Genomic DNA, 24307 nt, shown 5'->3' with positions numbered 1-24307 from the left:
CACTCACGGTGGCTCATGCCTGTAATCCCAGCACTTTGGGAGGCCAAGGCGGGTGGATCACAAGGTCAGGAGATCGAGATCATCCTGGCTAACATGGTGAAACCCCATCTCTACTAAAAATACAAAAATTAGCTGGGTGTGGTGGCACACGACTGTAGTCCCAGCTACTCAGTAGGCTGAGGCAGGAGAATCGCTTGAACCCAGGACGTGGAGGTTGCAGTGAGCTGAGATCGCACCACTGCACTCCAGCCTGGTGGCAGAACAAGACTCCATCTCAAAAATAAATAAATAAATAATAAAATAGCAGTGACTATAATGTTTTGTGATGTTAAACTTTGAGAGCTTTTTGTTTTCCTTTCTTTTCCCAAGTGCCTTTCCCAGTTCCAGGAGCAGAGTTATTCTAAGCCCACTGATGTAAAGGAATAGAAAGAAAAGGTTTGGTGGAAAACCTAATAACCTGCTATCTTTCTGTCTTTTATTTTTTAAAAGCTTGAGCATTTGGGAGAATTTGGAAAGATTGTGGAGTAAGTGCAAAGAAGGAATTTGCTAACAAAAATTATATAGGGTAAAATGAGTTTTTTCCAGGTTAGAAAATATCCACTCCCTACCCTCCTACATTCCTTTCCCATGGTTAAGAAGAGGAAAAAACAAAGGCCTCTTGGTGAGCAGTGGTGACTTAGGCAGTTTCTTAGAAATATTCTAGAAGACATAGTCATCTTTTAAAAAAAATAGCTACAAAGATATGTCTAAGCAGAAGGGACCATGGGCCAAATTACGTGTAGATTTTTGCATTCCAAATATGGTAAAGAAGAAGCAGGAAGCTGGGGGTCCTAAACAGGCCACACAGAAATGGACAAGGAAGAGGCCATCAGCAGCTTGTGGGGACAAGATGTCAAGCCCCAAATGTTAAACCCACCAACCATCCTCCAAATTCTGGCTCTGTTTAACAAGGCTGTGGTCTGACACTAGATGCTGCCTCAGTGACTAAAGCATAATTTCCCGTCTCCTGGGAGTGTTGACAGCTGACTCCTGGCAACAATACTCACAGCACAGTAAAGTTCCTTCATCCAAGTTCATGTCCCTTCTCAAGGCATCCCACATCCGAGAACTGCTTGGTACAGAAATATAATGGCCTGGTTTTCTTGCTCCAATTCGAGTTCATTAGGTAAACTCACCAAGATCCCTGTAGAGTGGACTGCGGCCATGATAGTGATTGCATTCCAGCCGACTTCCTGCTCCACCCAATCCTATTGCTTTCACTCTTCCACAGGTGTTGGGAATATCATTTCAACCTCCTTGCATGCAAATCTCCAACTCGGAGTCGGCTTCCTAGGACACCTGACTGGTGATATCTCTATCACTATCACAGTACTTAGAGGGGAGCATCTTAAAATGATTGAAGGCTAACTGCCCTACCAACACAGGGAGATGGTGGCTTAAAATAGAATTTAAGTGGATTTAAAAAAACACGAAAAAACTTGACATTGCACGCTCATATGAGCTTATGGATCAAACCATGTGTATGATTTCTAAGATCCCTCGTGCAGTATATATTTGCACTGTTTATAAATGACATCCCCTTGAATTGAATTCAGTGCAATTCAAAACAGTAATTTGTGGGAAAAATTAGATATGCAGATAGCCTGGACTCTAGGGAGGCACGCATCATTTGGAGAATAATAGTGAACCGGCTGGTCTATGAGGGAAGAAAACAGAGTGAATATAGACTATTAGTGAACAAGGATATTTTCCCATGTATATTCAAATTAAGGTGAACTTCTTTAGAGAATTGTGCCTTAGAAAGAAAAAGTATTTCCCTATATTTGAGTCCTCACAAGTTTTCCTACGATGAGTGCTTTTGTGATTATTTTGAATAACAAAGTAATATTTAAAGAAACTCTCTTGCCCTGAATGTACTTTATGTCAATTGATGTTGCATATAGAGAGCATCAGAGTCAAGCCACAAGAAAAGGAGGAACATAACTTAGCAAAGACTTAGAGGATTAGTCCTAATAGTGTGAAATCAAAAGTTCAAGTGAGGGAATAAATGCAGCCTTTAATGATTACTTAAATGAAGTTTAACTCTAGCAGGATCTACAAGAAATTGGCAACCTTTGGCTTCAGTAACAGAAACTCAGGATATATGCCCTTCAGTGCTTTTGTATTCTGCATCATATTGAGAGAGACTCCTTTAAACAAGCAATAAGAAACTTCCTGTGACAACATAATAAATTCAAAAAGTTCTGTAACTCAGACAATTTAGATAGAAGTGAGGACTTTGGCCTAGACAGCCCTGTTCACTCTAAAGATGGATTAAACAAGGAAAAATATATTGATATCAAAAATTCAATCAGGAATTTGATTAAAGCATTTCATTAAATGTGATAATTTCTTAGTATATTATCTTACATATGCAATATTCATGTGTAACAAATTAAATACAAGTAAACATTTGAGCATATTATCTGCAGCATAATTTACATATTCAGTTTTGCTTACATGAAAACTTCGATCTTCTCAATAAGAAAATTTGTGAAATCTTTAATTCCTCATCCCCAGGAATGTAAATAAATAAATATAAATATTGTAAGTCAGTGATTTTTTCCTAGGAAGACAGTAAAAATACTTTACACGTCTTCTCATTGTAAACCTAAATAACAAACAGAAAGGCTCTCTAAACGAAAAAGACACATCTTAGGGAGGAGGGCACTGCAATGGGAATATGCATGACAAAGCAAACTGTGTAGATTCAAATGGTAAAGGAAGACAAGGTCTTTAAAAGAAAAGCGATCAACCTGGAATTATGGGGGAGTAGAAAAAAAATAAATAAAGGAAAAATGAAGAGGCTTCTATAATTGTTTTGATATAGTTACCTTTGACTATAAAGATCAACAACAAGGTCGATGTCAGTTGAAGTTTGGGCAGGCGGTTGCTGGATACATGTCCTCACAGAAGTGTATTTTGTGTAAGGTTGCTATGGCCTTTGTGCAAGGTTGTGGATTTTGTGGTATTTTGTGACAGTTTGTATCAGGCCTAGAAGCATGAGAACCCTCTCTTCAAGGCCTTCTCTGAATCTATTTGTCCAGGTTTTTTCTTTTCTTTTTAAACATTAGTGACAGTTTTGATTCTGATAACTTTTATATCATGATCCTAATTTCAAAAAAAATTAAACGTGTAACTTATTTATGATGTATTTGATAGGCTTGGATTTGTGAATCACCTCTACTGTCTATAGTGGTAGATATATCTGAGCCTGCTTACACAGCACTTCCATCAGATTCTCTCTTCAGTGGAATTGGAAGAGGGGGTTTTGGAGAAGGGAATGAAGGAATTGTGCTGCATCAGAGGTCCCCACCTAACAGCACAGGGACTTTTTCTGTGCTCTTGCCAGGCCGTTGTATTAGGCTGATGCAAAAGTAATTTTGGTTTTGTCATTGAAAGTAATGAGACCATCTGACTTACAATGTCTGTGCCATAACCAGCTCCTAATAGCCTCTGAGGACAGCTTTGCCCTGACATATACTGTCCTGGGACCACGTCTGCTTTGTAACTCCTGAGGTAGCTGCCACCAAGACCAATGCCTTCTCATCTTTACTCTACATGCAGGTAACAGTTATAATTATATCTCTGTGTATTCACAGAACATTTAGTACATCTGGGACTTCTACAAAATTTCCCTAGCTGATTTTGGTGTTCTAGTGTCCTGGCAGCGCTAGCCATGAAGGGATGATGCTTTATCAGCATTTCTGTTGAGTTTTTTGCTTTTTCTCACAAACTGATTCCACTTTTCCCACATACGTTTGACAATTCATTTGAACTCATTTCACGGTTCGGGTGATGGGTGCACCCAAATCTCACAAATAACCAGTAAAGAACTTATTCATGGAACCAAATACCACCATACCCCAATAACCTATGGGAAAAAAAAATAAAATAAAATAAAAAAGATTCAGAAAAAAAGAAAATAATCACTGTACTTACCATGACACTTAGAAATGTTGGCTAGCATTATTTGTGTCACCTAATAATATAATTTTTTTTCCTTATGCTACAAACTAGCTCTGCTATTACAATCACTACTATTTGAAGTGTTACTAAATTTAATTAAATTTATTGTATCCTTCTGGACTCAGATATGGGAGTAAATGCTAAGACAATTTCAGAATATGATCACATATTAAAAGCATATTATATGGGGAAAATGTGATTTTTAAAACATAGAAATTGGTAGAGAAACAGTTTTTGGATCTCTTTAATTTCCACACATTTTGCAAGTGTGGACGCTGACTTTCTTGTTCTAAATGATTATTTTCAAGCATGTTTGTATAGAAAACACCCTTGGAATAGAAAACCAGTACCTCCTTCTGGAACAAAGGAAAATTTTATTTACTGTCTAGTATAATGCAGATAATTTCTCCCTCTTGGGAAGGGTACAGCCAAGTGAACTTCCCATAATACAAGTTTGGGTTTCTTGAGCTTGGGTTTTTCTTCCACAATGTAATGTGCAGGTGCCACTTGGCTCTATTTGTGTTATCCTGGGAAAGCTGATGGCTGTAGGTGCATGTTTATTTTGGGGTTCTCTATTCTGTTGCATTGGTCTTTGTGTCTGTTTTCATATCGCCACCATGCTATTTTGTCTACTGTGACCTTAGGGTATAGTATGAAGTCAAGTAATGTGATGTCTCCAGCTTTGTTCTTCTTGCTTAGGTTTCCTTTGGTTGTCTGGGCTCTTTAAAAATCCATACGAAATTTAGAATAGTTTTTTTCTGATTCTGTGAAAAACGACATTGGTTGTTTCATAGGAATAATGTTGAATGTGTAGATTGCTTTTGGCAGTATAGCCATTCTAACAATATTGCTCTTTCTAATCCATGAGCATGGAATGGTTTTCCATTTGTTTTGTCATCAATGATTTCTTTCTGCAGTGTTTTATAGTTCTCCTTTTAGATATCCTTTACCTCCTTGGTTAGACATATTCTTCTTTTATTTTATTTTGGGGGTTGCTGTTGTAAACAGGATTGCACTCTTGACTTACCTCTCAGTTTAAATATTTTTGGTGTACAGAAATGCTACTTCTTTTTATATGTTGATTTTTTTTATCCTGAAACTTCGCTGAAGTTTTTTTTATCAGTTCTAGGAGCCTTTTGGCACAGTCTTTAGGGTTTTCTAGGTGTAGAATCATATCATCAGTTAAGAGAGATAATTTGACTTCATTTCCTATTTGGATGCATTTTATCTCTTTCTCTTGCCTGATTGCTCTGGCTAGGACTTGTTGAACAGGAGTGGTGAGAACAGGCATCCCTATTTTATTCCTGTTCTTAAGGGGGACGTGTTAGGAGAAAAGCTGAGTGTTGGAAGAGAAGCTGAGGCAGGGCCATATGTTTCTCATTCACTTGATACTCCGTTTCCTTTCAACCCCCACATCCTCACCACCTGTTTCTTTGTTTGAGCACCAATAAATAGTGTGGGCTCCCAGAGCTTGGGGACTTTGCAGACTCCACACTTGTGATGGTCCCCTGGTCCCACTTTCTCTCTCAAACTGTCTTTTTCTCATTCCTTTGACTCCACCGGACTTTGTCACCCCCATGACCTAGTGTTGGGTCTGATCACCCCAGCATTCTTGGCGCCCAACATGGGATGACAAAGACCCTGATGAAGGAAGGCTAGAGCATGTGAAAGCAGAGGACACATCATCAAAAGACACCCGAGGACATACAAAGATGGTGAGTGAAAGTTAGCACTTAGAATTTGTTATCACTCTTTAGTACAGTAAAACAGTTTTGCCCATGGTTTCCAGAACAAAGGAGTATGAAGTTAGATGAACGGGAGAGAATTGGAAGAGATTTTTAAAAGGCATATAAAGATGGAGCAAAAATTCCAGTTTCTGTATGGTCAGTGTGGGCACTAATAAAGGCAGACTTTGAGCCATTTCAAAGAGATGATGAGGCAGAGTCAGATGAGGAAGAGGAGGATGAGTGTAAAAAACTAACTTCAAATTCTGAGTGTGAAGAACAGCTACCGGAGGAGATTAAAGAAAAGAAAGACTTTAAAAAGTATGTTTTACTAGCCCATTTGCTCCACCTGCTGAATTAAGTGAATGGCCACCTCTTCTCTCTCCCCTAAATGGGTGAGAAAATAAATTAGCTGAAAAACTTACTGCTCCTGTAGTTGCAACATTAAAACCTGGAGCAATTGGTGGAGCTAGACAAAATTCTATTCAAAAAGCTAAAGCCAAGGGAGACCTTGAAGCATGGCAATTTCCCGTTACTATAATCCAGCAAGTAGGACAGAATATAGCTAATTAGGCTGTTTTTTCTTTTAAGTTACTAAAGAATTTAAGCAAGCCATTAGTCAATATGGACTGAACTCTCTTTTTGTGCAAACTTTATTAAAAAATATGGCTCTTGGTAATAGATTACTACTATAAAATTAGGATACTTTGACAAAACCTGTTCTCACTCCATCTCAGTACTTGCAGTTTAAAACTTGGTAGGCTGATGAAGCTCAAACTCAGGCAAATGAAAACACAGAAGTGCAGCCACCTGTGCCTGTTTTCTTTGATCAGTTAATATGAGTTGGCCCTAACCGGGGTTGATTAGAGAATCAAGCAGTAATGGAAGATGTTGCCATTGTTCAGCTGTGCTTCATGTGCTTACAGGCATAGAAAAGGATAAATGTTACAGGGGAAAAGTATCCTTATTTCAGTTCTGTCTGACAAGGACCTAAACAACCATATATTAATTTTATTGCTCAGCTCCAAGAGGCTGTGTATAAAGCCATAAATGATAAAAACAGCTCAAGATGTTGTAATACAGCTTCTTGCATACAATAATGCTAATGCAGAGTGTCAAACTGCTATTAGACCCCTGAGAGAGAAGGCTCATTTAACTAAATATATTAAGGCTTGCGATGACATTGGAGGTAACTTACATAAGGCTATTCTTTTAGCTCAGGCTATGGCTAGATTAAGAGTAAGAAAAAATATGCTTCATTTCTCAGGCTCTTGCCTTAATTGTGGGCAAATTGGACACAAGAAAGGAATGTAGAAAGGAATTAAAAAGACGAAAACTACTACCATCAATCAACAGAAAAGTCCCAGTGTATGTCCCTGGTGTAAGAAAGGCAATCACTAGGCAAGTCCGTGTCATTCTAAATTTAGCAAAGATGGGCAACCTCTTTCAGGAAATAGGAAGAGGGACCCACCTTGAGCCCCTCAACAAACCGAGGCATACCCAGCACAGCCACTGCCCTTACAAATGTACAACAATTGTCCCCCGCCTCAGCAAGCAGTGCTGCTGTAGACCTCTACAGAACAATTCCCATCTCCTTACTTCCTGGGGAGCCACCAAAGAAGGTCCCCACAGGCGTTAGGGCAGCCTTACCCTGAGGAACTGTTGGGAACAAGACCCCTCAAATCCGGCCATAAACTGGCCCCAAAACTGGCCATAAACAAAATCTGTGCAGCACTGTGACATGTTCATGATGGCCATAACACCCACGCTGTAAGGTTGTGGGTTTACTGGAATGAGGACAAGGAATACCTGGCCCGTCCAGGGTGGAAAACCACTTAAAAACATTCTTAAGCCACAAACAATAGGATGAGTGATCTGTGCCTTAAGAACATGCTTCTGCTGCAGTTAACTAGCCCAACCTATTCCTTTAATTCAGCCCATCCCTTCGTTTCCCATAAGGAATACTTTTAGTTAATCTAATATCTATAGAAACAATGCTAATGACTGGCTTGCTGTTAATAAATACGTGGGTAAATCTCTGTTCAGGGCTCTCAGCTCTGAAGGCTGTGAGACCCCTGATTTCCCACTTCACACCTCTATATTTCAGTGTGTATATCTTTAATTCCTCTAGCGCTGCTGGGTTAGGGTCTCCCCGACCGACCTGGTCTCAGCAAGTGATGCAAATTCATGGGGGCTCGAATATAGGTCAAAGGATCGCTGGAGCAACGATTGGAGAATGTGGAACTAGCTGGAGGACACCTGAGTACTCTTAAAGCAATCCCCGTGGTGAGTAAGAAGGGGAGCTCGGAAGCTTCAGGGTAACAATGGGACAAGTGTGGGCTGTGGTTCGTTCTACCTTGGAACTTTTTCACACTGATGATGAGGAGGAAGGAGAGTATAACAAAGTAACAGTAGAGGTTACAGACCAGGTTTATTTGCCACCTAAATCTAAAGCAGAAAAGGAAGGAGAGGTTCATCCCTACCCTTCTGCACCCCCTCATTATTATTTTGAAGAAAACGACCCTCCAGATCTTTCTTTTCTGGAGGACACTGGGTGAAAAGTAGTTACCCTGGTGACTGTTCGAGCAGCGCCTTGAGCGACTGCTCTTAGTTCTATTCAGGCAGGAATTCAGCAAGCTAGACAAAAGTGGGATTTAGAGGCTTGGCAGTTCCCTGTTTGAATACACCCCGCAGATCAACAGGGAAATATTATAGCTACATTTGAGCCTTTTCCTTTTAAATTACTCAAAAAATTTAAACACGCTATAAATCAGTATGGACCAGGTTCTCCTTTTGAAATGGGACCGTTAAAGAATGTTGCTGTTTCCAGTCAGATGATTCCTACTGACTGGGACACTATTACTCGAGCTTGTCTAATTCCTGCTCAGTTCTTACAATTTAAAACTTAGTGGGCAGATGAAGCTTCCATTCAGGCTGCTCGCAATGCCTGGGCCCAACCTCAAATTAATATAACTGCAGACCAACTTTTGGGGGTTGGTGGCTGGGCTGGTTTACATGCACAAGTGGTCATGCAAGATGATGCCATAGAACAGCTTAGAGGAGTGTGCATTAGAGCTTGGAAAAAATCACTTCATGTGGAGAACAATACCCTTCCTTTAGTGCTATAAAACAGGGACCAAGAGAAACATGCGTGGATTTTGTAGCTTGGTTACAGGAATCTCTTAAAAAGATGATTGCAGATTTGGCTGCTTAGGATATACTTTTGCAGTTATTAGCTTTTGACAATGCTAATCACTATTGCTAGGCTGCTCTGCGACCTATCAGAGGGAAAGCACATTTAGTTGATTATATCAAGGCCTGTGATAGTATCAGAGGTAATCTACATAAAGCTACTTTGTTGGCACAGGCGATGGCAGGACTGAGAGTGGATAAAGGAAATACTCCATTTCCTGGAGCTTGTTTTAACTGTGGGAAGCATGGTCATACTAAAAAGAATGTAGAAAAAAAATCAGCGAGTAAGGCCACCAGATAGGGGAAAAAAGAAAACTGCTGATCCTGAAATATGTCCAAAATGTAAAATAGGAAAACTTTGGGCTAATCAGTGTCACTCTAGGTTTGATAAAGAAGGGAATCCGATTTCAGGAAACTCCCTGAGGGGCCCATCCCAGGCCCTGTTCTAAACCAGGGCATTTCCAGCTCAGGCTATTCCCTCACCCCCGTACATTATCTGTCCCCCACCACAGGCCATAGTGCCACAGTAGATTTATGCTGCACAAAAGCTGTGAGCCTTCTGCCTGGGGAACCCCCGCAAAAGGTCCCAACAGGAGTCTGTGGACCGTTGCCAACAGGGACAATGGGATTACTTTTCAGAAGGTCTAGTTTAAGTTTAGAAGGGGTACAAATACACACTGGAGTCATTGATTCAGATTACAATGAGGAAATTCAAATTGTGATATCTACTTCTGTTCCCTGGAAAGCACCAGCCAGAAGTGCGCATAGCACAGCTCCTGAGTGTGCCGTATGTGGGAATGGGAAAAAGTGAAATTAAATGAACTGGAGGATTTGGAAGCACAAATAAAAAAGGCAAGGCAGCTTATTGGGTAAATCAAATTACTGATAAACATCCTACCTTTTAAATAACTATCCAGGGAAAGAACTTTAAAGGTTTGGTAGATAATATTTTTTTTTTGGTAGGAGCAGACATTTCAATCATTTCTCTACAGCACTGGCCGTCCACATGTCCAATTCAGCCCACTCAATTTAACACAGTGGAAACTGCTAAAGCCCCAGAAGTATATCAAAGTAGCTATATTTTGCATTGTGAAGGGCCCGATGGACAACCTGGGACTATTCAACCAATTACAACTTCTGTACCTAAAAATTTATGGGGGAGAGATTTATTATGACAATGGGGAGCACAAGTTCTAATTCCATAACAATTACACAGCCCTCAAAGTCAGCATATGATGCACGAAATGGGGCATGTCCGTGGAATGGGAGTAGAAAAAAAATTTGCAAGGTTTGAAAGAACTGCTTCAAACGGAAAGACAAAGTTCTTGCCAAAGATTAGGATATCATTTTTGATGGTGGCCATTGTTAAGCCTCCAGAACCTATACCTTTAAAATGGTTAACAGATAAGCCAATTTGGATAGAATAATGGCTGCTAAGCAAAGAGAAACTGGAAGCTTTAGAGAAAATAGTTACTGAACAATTAGAAAATGGGCACATAGCTCCAACATTTTCCCCTTGGAATTCTCCAGTTTTCATAATTAAGAAAAAATCAGGTAAATGGAGAATGTTAACTGACTTAAGAGCCATCAATTCAGTTATACAACCTATGGAAACATAACAGCCAGGATTGCCTTCTCCTACTATAATTCCAAAAAATTGGCCTTTAATAGTCACAGATTTAAAAGACTGTTTCTTTACTACCCTTTTAGCTGAGCAATACTGTGAACGGTTTGCATTTACAATTCCTGCAGTAAGCAACCTGCAGCCTGCGAAGTGTTTTCATTGTTTCACAGATGGGTATAGTAATGGTAAAGCTTCTTATTCTGGATCAAAAGGTAAAGTTTTCCAGACACCCTATACTTCAGCTCAAAAAGTGGAGCTTGTAGCTGTAATTGAGGTATTGACTGCTTTTGATATGCCTATTAATGTGATTTCTGATTCTTCATACATGGTTCACTCCACACAGTTAATTGAAAATGCTCAGTTACAATTTCATACAGATGAACAACTGATAATAAAAACAAAAAAGGGGGAGAAACAGGGATTAAGGGATAGCCCATATACAATTGAATCTAGCATTATTAACTTTCAATTTTTTAAGCCTGCCCAAAGGCCAGATGTTATCAGCAGCTGAACAGCATCTACAGAAAGCAGCTGCGAAGACAGAAGCAGAATAACTGGTTTGGTGGAGAGATCCAATAACAAAAAGTTGGGAAATAGGTAAAATTATAACTTGGCATAGAGGTTATGCTTGTGTTTCTCCAGGACAGAATCAACAATTGATTTAGATACCATCAAGATTCCTGAAATTTTATCATGAACCAGATGCTGAGGAAGAGATAAAAAGCACAATCATCATTGAAATTAGAGCCTCTGGCTGGGCGTGGTGTCTCAAGCCTGTAATCCCAGCACTCTGGGAGGCCGAGGTGGGTGGATCACAAGGTCAGGAGATCGAGACCATCCTGGCTAACACGGTGAAACCCCGTCTCTACTAAAAATACAAAAAATTAGCTGGGTGAGGTGGCGGGCGCCTATAGTCCCAGCTACTCAGGAGGCTGAGGCAGGAGAATGGTGTGAACTCGGGAGGCAAAACTTCAGGTTTTCCCAAGAATGACACTGTAAATGTAACAAAGCTTCTGTGCTTGTTAGTGAACACCAAATCAGCTACTCTCCTGTATTCGGAGATAAGGATGAAATGAAAAGAACAAGCAGGCCGGGCGCGGTGGCTCATGCCTGTAATGCCAACACTTTGGGAGGCTTAGGTGTGTGGATCACCTGAGGTTGGGAGTTCGAGACCAGCCTGACCAACATTGAGAAACCCCGTCTCTACTAAAAATGCAAAATGAGCTGGGCATGGTGGCACAAGCCTCTAATCCCAGCTTGGGAGACTGAGGCAGGATAAGTTCTTAAACCTGAGAGACAGAGGTTGCAGTGAGGTGATATTGCACCATTGCACTCCAGCCTGGGCAACAAGAGTGAAACTCCATCTCAAAAAAATAAAAAATAAAAAAAGACCCCCAACCTTGTCTAGACTGTGGGGTTTCAGTTTCACCCCAGGGGTGTCCTGGTTGGGTTAGAATCCTGAATCTGGTTTGAGTTCGAATCCTAAAGAATAAAGGGAATAAAGGCTGTAGCCACTGAGATACTTAATCTGGTCTGGTTCTGGCTTTTGTGTGTCTATCTGTATTTTTGGTCTAAATATTTGGCCCAACAGAGGTTAAAGGCTTTGATGTTCTCAGCAAAAGCCTTGTGAGATCTCTAGTTTATCTGTGTGCTCAACTGGAACAAAGAGACTCCATAAACTAGAAAAACCTAAACAAAATGGCACATTTGAAAAATTGAGAGCCAACTCCTGTTTGTTGTTCTGTCCACCTCCCTCTCTCATTCCTCCTTCTGCCTTTGCTGTGGTCCCATGGTGTTTCTGTCCTTCTGGGGACCTGAGATTCAGTGTAGGAGTGAAGTCCATGATTTTAAAGCCTTCATGTCTCTGCTTTTTAACTCTGCCTGCTTTGCTGAGCTCTTATAATGAGAAATAAACCATTCAGAACAGAAACAACAGGGCATCAGAACACCAACTTCAGGCAGCGCTCCGGCAAGTACCTCCCTAGAGGGGAAGGGCTTACTAAAGGAGAATTAATCTTGAAAAGGCCAAAATGAGAAGCTCTAACCTTAAGCTTGCTAGGTTTTCTGGGACTGGAGCTGGCTATATATTATGGACCATTCTAGCCACACACACACACATACACACACACACACACACACACACATACACACATGTTTTTGAGACAGAGTCTCACTCTGTTGCCCACGCTGGAGTACAGTGTTGTGTTCTTGGCTCACTGCAACCTCCACTTCCCAGGTTCGAGCAATTCTCCTGTCTCAGCCTCCTGAGTAGCTGTGATTACAGGTGTGCACCACCATACCCGGCTAATTTTTGTGGTTTTAGTAGAGATGAGGTTTCACCATGTTGGCCAGGCTGGTCTCAAACTCCTGATCTCAAGTGATCCACCTGCCTTGGCCTCCCAAACTGCTGGGATTACAGGCATGAGCCACTGTTCCCAGCCTGTATATATATATATATATATATTCTTTTTCTTTTTGACACAGAGTCTTGCTCTGTTGCCCAGGATGGAGTATGGTGGTACAATCGCGGCTCACTGCAACCTCCGCCTCCCAGGTTTGAGCGATTATCCTTCCTCAGCCTCCTGAATAGCTGAGACTACAGGTGCACACCACCACACCCAGTTAATTTTTGTATTTTCAGTAGAGATGGGGTTTTGTCACGTTGGCCAGGCTGGTCTCAAACTCCAGGCCTCAAGTGATCCACCTGCCTCAGCCTCCCGTAGTGTTGGGATTACATGAATGAGCCACTGCACCTGGCCTCTAGTGCACACTTTAAACCTGACGGCCAAATTACATGAAAGAAAATTCAGAACTCAAATAGTTACTATTTTTAAAAACCCTAAAATGAAAAAGTCTCAGTTCTTTTGCCTATCTTTTTATTTCCCTGCCTACTTTGAATCTGCTGATTTGTCTACTGGTGTTGAGATAAGACTTACTGTCTGTGGTGTTACCAATTCAAGGTTACTTGGCTGAAGAAAAACAAAAGAATGAAACAATTCTTTATTTTTTTCTCTTTTTGAGACAAGGTCTCACTCTAAGGTCTCAATCTGTTCCCCAGACTGGAGTGCAGTAGTGGGATCATAGCTCACTGTTATCTCAAACTCCCAGGCTCAAGCAATCCTCCTGCCTCATCCTCTCTAGTAGAGGCGACAATAGGCATGCACCACCATGCCTGGTAATTGTTTATCTTATTCTTAGTAGAGATTGGGTCTCACTATGTTGCCCAGGCTGGTCTCAAACTCCTGAGCTCAAGTGATCCTCTTGCCGCAGCCTCTCAAACTGCTGGGATACAGGCATGAACCACTGTGCCCAGACAAAAGAGTTCTTTTATAAATACAAATAATTTAAAAAGTATTGATAAAATAAAAATAGAAATGTCTTCAGAATTTTCAGCATACATTTTTGTGTTTTATATTTACATTTGCTAGATATTTTAAGGTGCTAGGGTTTGGCATGAAGGTTATAAAGCTGTAAACACAGGAAAAAAAAGAATATTTGTTTATGTGATTTTTTAAATACATAAGGCCAATTTAATATGGTTTGTTGAACAAAAATAATGGAATTTTCTGTGTTATTGGTAAAATACCCATGTATTTAACTTTGAAGTCCTCACTTATGTGAACACCTGATATTCACAGGCTATAACATGGTTAACAATAAAATAACCTAGAAATGATGACTAGCTTTGTCTAATACCTCAGTTCTCACAAATACTCTAGATAAACTGTCAAAAATAAGTAAATGTAAATGGATAAATGTCTATACAAGACATCTTAATGTATTTTTGAAATTTTTTTGAGACAGTGTCTCTGTCTGTCACCCAGGCTGAAGTGCAGTGGCATGATCACAGCTCACTGCAACCTTGAACTCCTGCACTCAAGGGATCCTCCCATCTCAGCCTCCCAAGTAGCTGTTAATTACAGGTATGCACCACCATGGTCAGCTAACTTTTATTTTTTTTGTAGAGTCAGCATCTCACTATTTTGCTCAGGCTGGTTTCATGATACTCCTGCCTTGGCCTCCCAAAGTGTTGGGATTACAGGTGTGAGCCACCATGCCCAGCCTATTTTTGAAATTTTAGTTATGTTAAATTAAATAATAGATACTCATTAAATATCTGGGTTATTTCCAATTTAAGACTTACATTTTAGCCCAGGCACTGTGGCTCACGCCTGTAATCCCAACACTTTGGGAGGCCAAGGCGGGTGGCTCACCCGAGGTCAGGAGCTCAAGACCAGCCTGATCAACATGGTGAAACCCCATCTCTACTAAAAAATACAAAAAATTAGCCAGGTGTGGTGGTGGGTTCCTGTAATCCCAGCTACTCGGGAGGCTGAGGCAGGAGAATTGCTTGAACCTTGGGGGCGGAGGTTGCAGTGAGATGAGATCGCACCATTGCACTCCAGCCTGGGCAACAAGAGCGAAAATCCATGTTAAAAAATATGTTTTAGGAACACATAATTCTAAATTATGAAATTATTCTCATATGTAAGATACTGCTATATGACAATTCAAGATTTCTTGCTTCCTAGGTTTTCTATTAAAATAAGGGTTACTAAGTGTTAATATCTTGGTAGATATATGTGATTAAGACTACTAGATACAAGAGAAACAATTCTGTATGCAAAATGTATACCGGTTTTTTTTTCAGAGAAAGTAAATTCGCTTAGAGATTTTTAAGGATTATTTTAAATTGAAGGAATAAAAAAGATAGATAAAACTAAATGTGTATAAAAAGTTGGGAAAGATGAAAAAATTATACAAGGTTATTAAAAGTTTATGTAAATCTTACATCGAGGTCAAAACTGATTGAGATCAGATAGATTGTTTATAAAGTTTATTTAAATTAGCTGTAATATTAAAAAGAGTGATAAAATACTAAAAATTTTGGTTAAAACAACAAGGTTTTCTTAATGTATTTATTTGCTCATAAGAAGAGGTAATAAATATTGACTTTTAATCCTGAAATCTATTACTATAAAAACTTTTCAGATTTGTATATCAGAAGTTCAACTTCTCCTGTACTTTCATGTTACACATGACTCACAGATCACATCACTGTCTCCTGTTCCTTCTTGAGAAGGAATAAAAGGCTTGGGTTTCCTGCTTGGCTGGGATGATAACTCCTTCAGCTTTTTCATCAGGTCTAATTTTGTATTCTTGGCTTTTAAATATGTCTTAATTACTTCATGTAACCAGGAAACTTCCATGCTATCATTGTGAGCTATGGATCCCCACTGCTCTATGCTCTGGTTTTCCTGTTTACATTCCTTTGTAATATTATGCTCACTCATGACCCTGGACACACTCTTTCTATGTCTAATTAAATTAAAGTCTCCTTGTCATCGGAATTGACTTCCAAGTGATTTAAATTAGCTTCCCATAAGAAGACACAGTTATGCCACAGGAGTTTTACCCTTTAAATGACTGGCCTGTAATGAAGATTTTAGGTTTTATCAAGATAATCCATGTGTTGCCTTTATTTTTTTTTAATTACTTGGGAAAACTGAGGGTTTTCAGTTTTCACATCCATGTAACCTTCTATGTTGCTTTTGATGTCTTTTGGTTGTCATGCTAATTAAATGAATGACTGCTATTTAAAAATGACATGTGGCTGTGTGCAGCAGCTCATGTCTGTAATTCCAGCCCTTTGGGAAGCCAAGGTGGGTGGATCAGTTGAGCCCAGGAGTTCAACTCCAGCCTGGGCAAAATGGCAAAACCCCATCTCTACTAAAAATAAAAAAGCTAGCTGTGTGTGGTAGCACGTGCTCATAGTCCTGGCTACTTGGGAGACTAAGGTGGAGGATCACCTGATCCTGGGAGGTTGAGGCTGCAGTGAGCCATGATTTCACCACTGCACTCCAGCCTGGGCAACAGGGTGAGACCCTGTCTCAAAAAAATAATAAAATTAAAAACAATAAACTGTCATTCTGTTTTGGTCAAATCTTTTCAATTTTTTTACATCTTTGTTAAAACTTAGTTGATAACATTGTATGGCAAGCATTGCCAAAAGATAAGTAACACTAAATCTTCTTTTTTTTTTCTCTCTGAGACAGAATCTTGCTTTGTCACCCAGGCTGGAGTGCAGTGGCATGATCTAGGTTCACTGCAACCTCTGCCCCAAGGTTCAAGCGATTCTCCTGCCTCAACCTCCCAAGTAGCTGGGACTACAGACACATGCCACCACGCCCGGCTAATTTTGTATTTTTAGTAGAGACAAGATTTCTCCATGTCGGCCAGGCTGGTGTCGAAATCCTGACCTCTGATGATCTGTCCAACTTGGCCTCCCAAAGTGTTGGGATTACAGGCATGAGCCACTGTGCCTGGCCTAAATCTTCTTTTGGTTACATTTATAGGTATATTATTAATATAAATATTTTAAATGTTATATAAATTATAAAAATCTGATATGGTATCAGTGATAATTTTGATGATGTTAAATATTCTCTAAAGTTGTATATGTATAGATATATTATTAATATAAATATTCTAAAGATTGTATAAAATTTGTGGAAGTCTGATGGATCTGATGTGTTGCCGTCAGTCATGATTCTGGCTGTTATCTTAAAATGCTACATATAATAGAAATAACTAAATTTCCTCACCAGTTGAGAACTTCCACTGGATTTTAACCAAAGGCTCTTCTAAGTTTTTGTCATCCACGGTGATTGTTTAAAGTTCTTCTCTAAAACCCTTTACAGGCCAGGCGCGGTGCTGAAGGCCGTGCAGGGCACGGTGGCTCGCGCGTGTAAAAATCCCAGCACTTTGGAAGGCCGAGGTGGGTGAATTGCTTAAACTCAGAAGTTTTAAAGCAGCCTGGGCAACATGGTAAAATCCTCTCTCTACAAGAATACAAAAATTAGCCAGGCATGATGGTGCATGCCTATGGTCCCAGCTACTTCAGAGGCTGAGGTAGGAGGATGGCTAGAGTTTGGGTGGGAGAGATTGCAGTGAACCAAGATCATGTCACTGCACTCCATCCTGAGTGATAGAGCCAGACCGTGTCTCAAAAAAAAAAAAAAGTCTTTACAATCAGCTATCATCTAAATTACTTTTAATGGAAAGGACTCTGACAAGTTCTCTTAAATATGGTTTCAGATAACTTTGGGGATCATACCATTGGACTATGAAAATCTTCCAGGACTCTAAAAAGCTGAATGAGAATTTCCAATTGAAATCAAGCAGAACACAAAAAACTGAATGAGAATTGCTATTTGAAATCAAGCAGAACAAGCTGTAGTTACATGGGACTGAACTTATAAAAGAAGGAAAAGATTTTATTCATGGCCTTTCCATTGGAAACATTGTTGATTCTCTTTATGTTTTGTTTTCCAAAGTCAAGAATTTTTTTTCTTTTCAGCTATTTTTAACTTACAATATATTAGATAAACTACATTGTGAACAAAAATTTGAGCCATTTATCTGTCTCTCTAGCTGATTTCTCCAGAATTCAGAAGCCATTCGTGAGCATTCTTAAATTATGGCAATATAATTATTTGCATAATTTCAATAAGAATCTGTTTTTGGTAACAAGATTCAATTGGAGACACTGTTTGTTTTATCAAGGCTTTAACTTGAATGGCAGATACAACCAGACCACTTTAAGGAATTGAGGTTGACTTTATAGCACCAATACAAAGCCCCTTAGAATGACTGGCTTGATGTCCTGTCTACAAGGATCCTTTACAAATTTGCTGTCCTTGTGGTAAGAAGTAAAGAATGTCACTTTCTGACGGGCCCAGGAACCTCAAGATATTTGGGGACCTTGAGAAGAGAGGACTACACCCATTCATAAAAGTATTACAGGAGAGCTGGCAAGATGTCTGAATAGGAACAGCTCCGGCCTGCAGCACCCAGTGAGATCAACACAGAAGGCAGGTTGTTCATGCATTTCCAACTGAGCCTCCACTGGTGACACCCAGGCAAACAGGTCTGGAGTGGACCTCCAGCAAACTCGAGCAAACCTGCAGCAGAGGGACCTGACTGTTAGAAGGAAAACTAACAAACAGAAAGGAATAGTATCAACACCACCAACATCAAAGACCAAAGGTAGATAAATCCACAAAGACGGGGAGAAACCAGTGCAAAAAGGCTGAAAACTCCAAAAGCCAGAATGCCTCTTCTCCTCCAGAAGATCACAACTCCCCGCCAGCAAGGGAACAAAACTGGACAGACAATGAGTTTGACGAATTGACAGAAGTAGGCTTCAGAAGGCGGGTAATAACAAACTCCTCCGAGCTAAAGGAGCATGTTCTAACCCAATGCAAGGAAGCTAAGAGCCTGAAAAAAAAGGTTAGGCGAATTGTTAACTAGAATAACCAGTTTAGAGAAGAATATAAATGACCTGATGGAGCTGAAAAACCCAGCACAAGAACTTCATGAAGCATACACAAGTATCAATAGCTGAATCAATCAAGCAGGAGAAAGGATATCACAGATTGAAGATCAACTCAAAGAAATTAAGCAAGAAGACAAGATTAGAGAAAAAAGAGTGAAAAGAAATGAACAAAGCCTCCAAGAAATAGAGGACTATGTTAAAACACTGAGTCTATGTTTGATTGGTGTACCTGAAAGTGACAGAGAGAATGGAACCAAGTTGAGAAACATTCTTAAGGATATTATCCAGGAGAAATTCCCCAACCCAGGAAGACAGGCCAACATTCAAATTCAGGAAATACAGAGAACGCCACTAAGATACTCCTCAAGAAGAGCAACCCCAAGACACAAAGTCATCAGATTCACCAAGGTTGAAATGAGGGAAAAAATAATAAGGGCAGCCAGAGAGAAAGGTTGAGTTACCCACAAAGGGAAGCCCATCAGACTAACAGTGGATCTCTTGGCAGAAAGCCTACAAGCCAGAAGAGAGTGGGGGCCAATATACAACATTCCTAAAGAAAAGAATTTTCAAGCCAGAATTTCATATCCAGCCAAACTAAGCTTCATAATTGAAGGAGAAATAAAATCCTTTTCAAGCAAATGCTGAGAGATATTGTCACCACCAGGCCTGCCTTACAAGAACTCCTGAAGGAAGCACTAAACATGGAAAGGAACAACTGGTAACAGCCACTGCAAAAACATACCAAATTATAAAGACAATTGACACTATGAAAAAACTGCATCAACTAATGAGCAAAATTACCACCTAGTATCATAATGACAGGATCAAATTCACACATAACAATATTAACCTTAAATGTAAATGAGCTAAATGCCCCCAATTGAAAGACACAGACTGGCAAATTGGATAAAGAGTCAAGACCCATCAATGTGCTGTATTCAGGAGACCCATCTCATACACATAGGCTCAAAATAAAGGGATGAAGGAACATTTAACAAGCAAGTGGAAAGCAACAAAAAGCAGGGGTTGCAATCCTAGTTTCTGATAAAACAGATCTTAAGCCAACAAAGATAAAAAGAGACAAAGAAGGGCATTACATAATGGTAAAGGGATCAATGCAACAAGAAGAGCTAACTATCCTAGACATATATGCACCCAATACAGGAGCACTCAGATTCATAAAGCAAGTTCTTAAAGACCTACAAAGAGACTTAGACTCCCACACAATAATAGTGGGAGACTTTAACACTCCACTGTCAATATTAGATAGATGAGACAGAAAATTAACAAGAATATCCAGGACTTGAACTCAGCTCTGGACCAAGTGGACCTAAAAGATATCTACAGAACTCTCCACCCCAAATCAACAGAATGTACCTTCTTCTCAGCACCACATTGCACTTATTCTAAAATTGACCACATAATTGGAAGTAAAACACTCCTCAGGAAATGCAAAATAATGGAAATCATAACAAACAGTCTCTCAGACCACAATGTATTCAAATTAGTATACAGGATTAAGAAACTCACTCAAAACCTCACAACTACATGGAAACTGGGCAACCTGCTCCTGAATGACTACTGGCTAAATAACGAAATGAAGGCAGAAATAAAGATGTTCTTCAAAACCAGTGAGAACCAAGACACAACGTACCAGAATCCCTAGGACACTTTTAAAGCAGTGTGTAGAGGGAAATTTATAGCACTAAATGCCCACAAGAGAAAGCAGGAAAGATCTAAAATTGACACCTTAACATCAAAATTAAAAGAACTAGAGAAGCAAGAACAAGTAAATTCAAAAGCTAGCAGAAGGCAAGACATAAATAAGATCAGAGCAGAATTGAAGGAGATAGAGACACGAAAAACTCTTCAAAAAATCAATGAATCCAGGAGCCGGTTTTTTGAAAAGATCAACAAAACAGACTACTTGCCAGACTAGTAAAGAAGAAAAGAGAGAAGAATCAAATAGATGCAATAAAAAATGATTAAGGGGATATCACCACTGGTCCCACAGAAATACAAATTATCATCAGAGAATTCTACCAAGACTAAACCAGGAAGAAATCAAATTCCTGAAAAGACCAATAACAGGTTCTGAAATTGAGGCATTAATCAATACCCTACCAACGAAAAAAAATCCAGGACCAGACGGATTCACAGCCAAATTCTACCAGAGGTACAAAGAGGAGCTGGTACCATTCCTTCTGAAACCATTCCAAACAATAGAAAAAGAGAGAATCCTCCCTAATTCATTTTATGAGGCCAGGATCATCTTGATACAAAAACCTGGCAGGGACACAACAAAAAAAGAAAATTTTAGGCCAATAGCCCTGATGAACATCAATGCAGAAATCCTGAATAAAATACTGGAAAACTGAATCCAGCAGCACATCAAAAATCTTGTCCACCATGACCAAGTTGACTTCATCCCTGGGATGCAAGGCTGGTTCAACATGCAAATCAATAAATGTAATCCATCATATAAACGGAATCAATGACAAAAACTACATGATTATCTCAATAGATGCAGAAAAGGCCTTTGACAAAATTCAACAGCCCTTCATGCTAAAAACTCTGAATAAACTGGTATCGATGGAACATATCTCAAAATATTAAGTGCTATTCATGACAAACCCACAGCCAATAACATACTGAATGTGCAAAAACTGGAAGCACTCCCTTTGAAAATCAGCACAAGACAAGGATGCCCTCTCTCACTACTCCTATTCCACATAGTGTTGGAAGCTCTGGCCAGGGTAATCAGGCAAGAGAAAGAAATAAAGCGTATTCAATTAGGAAAAGAAGAAGTCAAATTGTCTCTGTTTGCAGATGACATGATTATATATTTAGAAAACCCCATCGTCTCAGCCCAAAATTTCCTTAAGCTGATAAGCAACTTCAGCAAAGTTTCAGGATACAAAATCAATGTGCAAAAATCACAAGCTTTCTTATTCACCAATAACAGACAAACAGAGAGCCAAACTATGAGTGAACTCCCATTCGCCATTGCTACAACAAGAATGAAATACCTAGGAATACAACTTACAATGATGTGAAGGACCTCTTCAAGGAGAACTACAAACCACTCCTCAAGGAAAAAGAGAGGACACAAACAAATGGAAAAACACTCCATGCTCATCGATAGGAAGAATCAATATCATGAAAATGGCCATACTACCCAAAGAAATTTATAGATTCACTGCTATCCCCATTAAACTACCATTGACTTTCTCCACGGAATTGGAAAAATATATTTTAAATTTCATATGGAATCAAAAAAGAGCCCGAATAGCCAAGACAATCCTAAGCAAAAAGAACAAAGCTGGAAGCATCATGCTACCTGACTTCAAACTATACTACAAGGCAACGGTAACCAAAACAGCATGGTACTGGTACCAAAACAGATATATAGATCAAAGGAACAGAACAGAACCCTCAGAAACAACACCACATATCTACAACCATCTGATCTTTGACAAACCTGAGAAAAACAAGCACTGGTTAAAGGATTCCTTATTTAATAAATGGTGTTGGGAAAACTGGCTAGCCTTAGGCAGAAAGCTGAAACTGGATCCCTTCCGTACACCTTATATAAAAATTAACTCAAGATGGATTAAAGACTTAAACTTAATACCTAAAGCCATAAAAACCCTAGAGGAAAACCTAGGCAATACCATTCAGGACGTAGGCATGGGCAAAGACTTCATGACTAAAACACCAAAAACAATGACAAAAAAAACAAAATTGACAAATGGGACCTAATTAAACTAAAGCGCTTCTGGAAAGCAAAAGAAACTGTGAGAGTGAACGAGCAACCTCCAAAATGGGAGAAAATTTTTGCAATCTATCCATCTGACAAAGGGCTAATATCCAGAATCTACAAAGAACTTAAACAAATTTACAAGAAAGAACAATCCCATCAAAAAGTGGGCAAAGGATGTGAACAGACACTTCTTAAAAGAGGACAATTATGCAACCAACAAACATATGAAAAAAAGCTCATCATGACTAGTCATTAGAGAAATGCAAATCAAAACCACAATGAGATACCATCTCATGCCAGTTAGAATGGTGATCATTAAAAAGTCAGGAAACAACAGATACTGGAGAGGGTGTGGAGAAATAGGAATGCTTTTACACTGTTGGTGGGAGTGTAAATTAGTTCAACCATTGTGGAAGACAGTGTGGCTATTCCTCAAGGATCTAGGACTAGAAATACCATTTGGCCCAGAAATCCCATTACTGGGTATATACCCAAAGGATTATAAATCATTCTACCATAAAGACAAATGCACACGTATTTTTATTGCAGGACTGTTCACAATAACAAAGACTTGGAACCAACCCAAATGCCCATCAATTATAGACTGGATAAAGAAAATGTGGCACATATACACCATAGAATACTATGCAGCCATAAAAAAGGATGAGTTCATGTCCTTTGTAGGGACATGGATGAAGCTGGAAACCGTCATTCTCAGCAAACTAACACAAGAACAGAAAACAAAACACCACATGTTCTCACTCATAAGTGGGAGTTGAACAACGAGAACACAAGGACACAGGGAGGGGAACATCACACACTGGGGCGTGTTGGGGGGTGGGGGCGGGGGGAGGGAAAGCATTAGGACAAATACCTAATATAGGTGATGGGTTGATGGGTGCAGCAAACCACCACAGCACATGTATACCTATGTAACAAACCTGTGCATTCTGCACTTGTACCCCACAACTTAAAGTATAATAAAAAAAAAGTAGGTTAAAAAAAGTATTACAGACACAGTCTGATGCAAATCTTTGACTTGGCTAGTCTCAAGGCTTTTAAAAGTCTAAGATTCCTTATTAAATAGTTCCAACAAAGCCAATTTTAAGAAGCCTATATGGTCAATAAATATTCTTGCTGCACTTTATGCAAATAATCAGGCCAGGTATGATAAGACTAAAACTTATTTTGCACAGAAATTTGTCCTACTATGATTTGTCTTTGATAAAATGATGGACTAGAGAGAGAAAATTTATGTTCCAAAAGAAAACTGTGACATATGCTATTAGATTCCAGCCCTGATCATTTTTTCTGAGTTTTTATTATTTGCCTATAATTTGGTCTGAATCCTGAATTATTTCCTGGCTCCAAGTGTTCCCTAGTGAACCCAGATATAATATATTTTATAAAACTTGTTTTATCCTGTCAGGAATGAGATGTATTTTTGAAGGACTACTTAAACTAGCAATTACAATTCGATTATTATGATTATAGAATCTCGGGATTTCTCTTCCTTCTTGTCAAGGTCTTTACCTGATGTTTGTCTCATTAAAAAAAAAGAAATCAGACTGATTACACTCTACTCAAGACTGAAGACATGTACTTTAACATGTCTCTGTTACCAGTAATCCAAAGCCTTAAATTTCAGAATCCATCAG

Source organism: Homo sapiens, unplaced genomic scaffold, assembly GCF_000001405.40.
Source record: "Homo sapiens unplaced genomic scaffold, GRCh38.p14 Primary Assembly HSCHRUN_RANDOM_CTG28".
Classification (NCBI taxonomy): domain Eukaryota; kingdom Metazoa; phylum Chordata; class Mammalia; order Primates; family Hominidae; genus Homo; species Homo sapiens.
The sequence above is the reverse complement of the archived record's forward strand: the minus strand, read 5'-3'. Positions refer to the sequence as shown.